Source organism: Homo sapiens, chromosome 13 (assembly GCF_000001405.40).
Source record: "Homo sapiens chromosome 13, GRCh38.p14 Primary Assembly".
In the NCBI taxonomy this organism is placed as follows: Eukaryota; Metazoa; Chordata; class Mammalia; order Primates; family Hominidae; genus Homo; species Homo sapiens.
Genome location: NC_000013.11, coordinates 60760060 through 60766802, shown reverse-complemented (window position 1 = coordinate 60766802; position 6743 = coordinate 60760060). Strand labels below are relative to the sequence as shown.

At 36.8% G+C, this 6743-nt stretch overlaps 1 annotated feature.

Annotated features, from left to right (window-relative positions):
• Nucleotides 554–848: a silencer, noted in NCBI's record as "tiled region #6777; HepG2 Repressive non-DNase unmatched - State 24:Quies". NCBI's record gives its function as "represses a minimal TATA promoter and a strong SV40 promoter by Sharpr-MPRA in HepG2 cells {active_cell/tissue: HepG2}" and the evidence as "EXISTENCE:reporter gene assay evidence [ECO:0000049][PMID:27701403]".

Genomic DNA, 6743 nt, shown 5'->3' with positions numbered 1-6743 from the left:
CAAAACCATCCCTCTTCTTCATCCATGGAAAAGCTGTCTTCCAAAAAACTGGTCTCTGGTGCCAAAAAAGTTGGGGACTGCTGGTGTAAACTATAACGTATATGCTTGGTCAAGCAATATCAGCAGAGCACTCCAGCCTGGGCAACACAGTGAGACCCAGTTTCTTAAAAAAGATGCTCTAAATACATCAATTATATTCATCTTCACTGAAACTCTGTGACATTGATATTATAACCCCATTTTACAAGTGAGAAAATTAAGACACTAAGATCACACAACTAATGTGAAAGTCCAGTGTTTTTCTAGAACACTTTAAAATTTTAAATTAAGTTTAAAAAAAAATCTTGTTCATGTCACTCTTTGATTCAATTTTACTTGACAGTACACTCTCCGCTGGAAAAGCCCCACCTAAGGAATCCCTGAACTGTGCTATCTCAACACTGTCACCCTGGCACCAGCAAGTCAAGACAAACCACCCCAGTCAGACCATGGCGGAGGGAAGGCCAATAACACCAGGGAATTCCACGCCCTCCAGCTTCTCTCACACTTGCATTTGGAATGTGAGTTCTTAATACCAAAAGGGAAAACAGGCCAGTTATAAGTGTGCCATTTTACACATGAGCAAACACAGCATAGTGCAGCACATTCCAGCACTGAGACAGCCAGATTTTGATAAGAGTGTTAGTCATTACGCCAATAGTGGAAACTGTGTGGGAGGATTTTCTTTAACTTGTCTCTCTGTCAATCCAGAAAGAGAAAAGAGGAAAATTGTGAAAAGCAAGATTCTGAAAGATGGCTTGAGTAAAATTCTTCTCAAAAAGAGACTATAAATAATGACTATACCTGGCTATTGCTAAGCAGTGTTTAGTCACTTATGACACTGTTACTGAAAAGTAATGTTTACATAGTGTGATTATTTACCAAGTTGTTTTGATTTCTATCCTGACTATGTATCTCATTGAGAGAAGCTGTGCTGTTGCTACCAATTCTGAAAAAGGCAGACTGGTTTCAGGATACCAAGGCTTTATCAACTGTGTTTACCACTGTATCCTTGTACTCAGAACAGTTGAGGGGCCCAGGGCAGAGGTTTCTGTTTTCGAAGTCTAAGGGCAATGCTGCCTTAGATCTCATCTCAAGAAATAATTGTTCTCTATCCTTTAGCACCCACTTCTTGAAAAGAATGCCCTACCCCCTATTAGCACTTACTCTGCTCTCTGTTCTTTCTTTACTTGTAACTCCAAAATCTTTACTTGTAACATACCCCCCTCTAAAACCAGAGAAAAAATGTCAGCTTCAAATAAAGACCCTGCACAAAGTCTCAGCCTGGTGAAAACATCCAGAAAAGAAGCCTATTGACTGTACTCAATCTACATGGCAGTTAAAGGAATACCCACACCCAGAGATGAGAAAGAATCAATGCAAGAACTCCAGTAACTCAAATGGCCAGAGTGCTGTATGTCCTCCAAACAACCACACCCATTCTCCAACAAGACTTAATAAGGCTGAACTGGCTGGAATGACAGACATAAAATACAGAATATGAATAGGAACAAAGATAATGAGATTCAGGAGGACAGCAAAACCCAATGCAAGGAAATTAAGAATCATAATAAGGTGAAACAGGAACTGAAGGATTAAAGAGCCAGAATATAAAAGAACCTAACAGTTCTGACAGAACTAAATAACACAGGCCAGGTGCAACGGCTTACACCTGGAATCCCAGCACTTTGGGAGGCCAAGGTGGGTGGATCATCTGAGATCAGAAGTTCAAGACCAGCCTGACCAACATAGTGAAAGCCCGTCTGTAACTAAAAATACAAAAATTAGCAGGGCATGGTGGTGGGCGCCTATAATCCCAGCTACTCGGGAGATTGAGACAGGAGAATTGCTTGAACCCGGGAGGCGGAGGTTACAGTGAGCCAAGATTATGCCATTGCACTCCAGCCTGGGTGACAAGAGTGAAATTCCGTCTCAAAAAAGAAAAAAAGAAAGAACCAAGAAAGAACTAAACAACACAATACAAGAATTTCACAATGCAATCACAAGTATTAACAGCCAAATAAACTAAGCTAAGGAAAGAATCTCAGAATCTGAAGAATGGTTTTCTGAAATAAGATAGACAAAAATAAAGAAAAAAGAATTTCAAGCAATGAACAAAACTTCTGAAAAGTAGGCGATTATGTAAAGAGATCAAATCTACAAATCACTGTCATCCCTGAAAGGGAGGGGGAGAAAGCAAACAACTTGGAATACATATTTCCATGAAAACACATTGTCCATGAAATACATATTGTCCATGAAAACATCCCCAACCTTGCTAGAGAAGCCAACAGTCAAATTCAAGATATACAGAGAACTCCTGCAAGATTCTACAAAAGAAGATCATCCCCAAGCACATAATCATCAGCTTTTCCAAGATCAAAATAAAAGAATGTTAAAGGCAGACAGAGAAAGGGCAGGTCATCAGCAAAGGGAACCCCATCAGGCTAATAGCAAACCTCTCAGCTGAAACCCTACAAGCCAGAAGACACCAGGGTCCTATGTTCAACATTCTTAAGGAAAAAAGTCTTCAACTAAGAATTTCATGTCGAGCAAAACTCAGCTTCCTAAGTGAAGGAAAAATAAGTTCTTTTTCAGATAAGCAAATGTTGAGCAAATTTATTACCATCAGACCTGCCTTAAAAGGGATCTTGAAAAGAGCACTAAATGTAGAAAAAAAAGACTGCTACCAGCTAATACAAGAAAATACTTAAACATACAGATCAGTGTCACTGTAAAGCAACCACATAAATAAGCCAACATAATAACCAGCTGACAACACAATGACAGGATCAAATCCACACATATTGATACTAACCTTGAATGTAAATGGGCTAAATGCCCCACTTAAATGGTACAGAGTGGAAAGCTGGATAAAAATGGAAAGCTGGACAATGCTATGCCATCTTCAAGAGACCCATCTCACATGTAGTGACACTCATAGGCTCAAAATAAAGGGATGGAGGAAAATCTATCAAGTAAATGGAAAACAGAAAACACCAGGGGTTGCAATACTAATTTCAGACAAAACAGATTTCAAGCCAACAAAAATCAAAAATAAAAAAGACAAAGAAGGGCATTACATAATAGTAAAGGATTCAATTCAACGAGAAGACCTAACTATCCTAAATATAGATGCACCCAACAGAGGAACACCCAGATTCATAAAGTAAGTTATTAGAGAACTACAAAGAGACATAGACTCCCACACAATAATAATGGGAAACTTCAGCACTCCACTGACAGTATTAGACACATCGTCAAGGAAGAAAACTAACAAAGACATTCAGGACCTAAACTCAACATTGAACCAAATAGATATGGTAGGCCTTTACAGAACACTCCACCCCACAACAACAGAATATACATTCTTCTCATTGCCATATGGCACATATTCTAAAATCGACCACATAATTGGACATAAAACTATCCTCAACAAATGTTAAAAAAAATTATAACACACACACACTTAAGACCACACCATAATAAAAATAGAAGTCAAGACTAAGAAAATTGCTCAAAACCATGCAAACACATAGAAATTAAACAACGTGCTCTTGAATGACTTTTGGGTAAATAATGAAATTAAGGCAGAAATCAAAAGTTTTTTTAAACTAATGAGAACAAAGATAAAACATATCAGAATCTCTGGGACACGGCTAAGGCAATGTTAGTAAAATTCTTAGCACTAAATGCTCACATCACAAAGTTAGAAAGATCTCAGATTAACAACTTAACATCACAACTGAAAGAATTAGAGAAGCAAGAATAAATCAACCCAAAAGCTAGCGGAAGATGAGAAATAATCAAAAATCAGAATTGAACTGAAGGAAATTGAGACACCAAAAAAAGTTCAGAAAATCAATAAATCCAAAAGTTGGTTTTTTGAAAAAACTAATAAAATAGGCCACTAACTAGAGTAATAAAGGAGGAAAAGAGACTATCCAAATAAACACAATTAGAAATGACAAGAGAATGTTACTACTGACCCCACAGAAATAAAAACAACCATCAAAAACTACTATGAACACCTCTATGCACACAAACTAGAAAATCTAGAAGAGATGAATAAATTCCTGGACACATACACCCTTCCAAGACTGAACCAGAAAGAAACTGATTTCATGAACAGACCAATAACGAGCTCTGAATTTGAATCAGTAATAAATAGCCCAACAACCAAGAAAAGTCTTGGGACCTGATGGGTTCAGTCGAATTCTACCAGATGTTCAAAGAAGTACTGGTAGCATTCCTACAGAGACCACTCCAAAAAACTGAGGAGGAAGGACTCCTCACCAACTCATTGTGTGAGGCCAGCATCATCCTGATACCAAAACTTGGCAGAGATACAACAAAAAAAGAAAACTTCAGGCCAATATCCTTGCTGAACATTCATGTAAAAATCCTCAACAAAATACTCACAAACTGAATCCCAGCAGCACATCAAAAAGCTAATCCACAATGATCAAGTAGGCCTCATCCCCGGGATGCAAGGTTGGTTCAACATACACAAATCAATAAAGGAGATTCATCATATAAAGAGAACTGAAGACCAAAACCACGTGATTATCTCAACAGACACAGAAAAGGTTTCAATAAAATTCAACACTCCTTCATGCTAAAAACTCTCAATAAACTAGATATTGATGGAAGGTATCTCAAAATAATGGGAGCTATTTATGACAAGCCCACAGCCAGTATCATACTGAATGGGCAAAAACTGGAAGCATTTCCTTTGAAAACCAGCACAAGACAAGGATGGCCTCTCTCACCACTCCTATTCAACATAGTATTGGAAGTCCTAGCCAGAGCAATCAGGCAACAGAAAGAAATAAATGGCATCCAAATAGGAAAAGAGGAAGTCAAACTATCTCCGTTAATATATCTAGAAAATCCCATAGACTCAATGCAAAAGCTCCTCCAGCTGATAAACTACTTCAGGCATGTTGCAGGATACAAAATCAATGTACAAAAAACACTAGCATTCTATACACCAACAACAGCCAAACCCAGAGCCAAATCAGGAAGTCAATCCCATTCACAACTGCCATGAAAGAGTAAAATACCTCAGAATGCAACTAACAGTGAGGTGAAAGATCTGTACAATAAGAATTATACAATAGCACTCAAAGAAAAAAGAGAAGACACACAATGAAGAAACATCCCATGTTCATGCCTAGGAAAAATCGATATCAGATTTCCAAGAGAAAAACGAACAACACCATTAAGAAGTGGGCAAAGGACATGAATAGAGACTTCTCAACAGAAGTCATACATGCAGCCAACAAGCATATGAAACAAAGCTCAACATCATGAAAACCACGATAAGATACCTTCTCACACCAGTGAGAATGCTTATTACTAAAAAGCCAAAAAATAACAGATGCTGGTGAGATTGTGGGAAAAAAAGGAATGTGCATATACTCAGAGAAATATAAATCATTCTACCTAAAGCCACATGCACGTGAATGTTCATTGCAGCACTATTCATCATAGCAAAGACATGGAATCAACCTAAATGCCCATCAACAACAGCTTGGATAAAGAAAATGTGGTACATATACACCATGGATACTATGCAGCCATGAAAAAGAAACAAGAGCATGTTTTTTGCCAGAACATGGATGGAGCAGGAGACTATTATCCTGAGCAAACTAATACAGGAACAGAAAACCAAGTACCACATGTTCTCACTTATAAGTGGGAGCTAAATAATAAGAACTTATGAGCACAATGAAGGAAATAACAGATACTGTGGTATAATTGAGTGGGGAGATTGGGAAGAGGGAAGAGAGAAGAAAAGATAACTATTGGGTACTGAGCTTAATGCCTGGTTGATGAAATTACAAGTTTACTTATGTAACAAACCTTCACATGCACCCCTAAACCTAAAATAAAAGTTAAAAAAAATAAAATTTTTTAAATGCAAAAAGAAAAAAGAAAAATAAACTCCCAAATCTTTACTCAATATTAATCATCCCTAGCTATTGGTGAACATCATTCTAGATACTTTTCTATGTGTGTATGTAGATAAATGAATACATAAATAATAGCAAGAACATTTTTAATTAGAATTGTGTCAGATATGGAGTTTAATAAAAACCACCAAACTAATTTTTCTTGAATCCAACCTTATAAAGAAACTAAAACAATCAGAATTGCTCAACTGTAGTTAAATATTTCTTTACAAATTCAATATCAGATCCTAAAAGAGATATCTAAAAATCATGAAGAATAGTGACACATTTATTCTTATTTTATGAATATTGCTGTATCACAGCAGTATTGGATCATTTCACTTTTATATTGAAAAATTTTATCTTGAAATATTTGGCTGTTTCAGCCAAATCCCTCCTTGCCCATTCTGAAGCAGATTTCCTTAACCTCATGTCCGTAGACACCCCCAAAGAATCTGTGAATAGAAATCAAGGGTTTGTACATGTAGATGGAAAAAATTCCATTTTCCCTAACCTTTAAGTGTAACGTGCACTTTTCCTCAATTATGAACTTAGGTAACAAACCACAGTAGTGTCAGCATTACCTGTGAGTTTGTCACTAATAGAAATTACTTATATTTCCATATTACTTACTGCTCTTGCCAATCTTAAATGGTGTTTTACACTTATCAATGTTTCATTAATCAAGGAGCACTTATATTTCTTCAGTACAAATTTATTTTTTACATACTTTTATATTTGCATTTC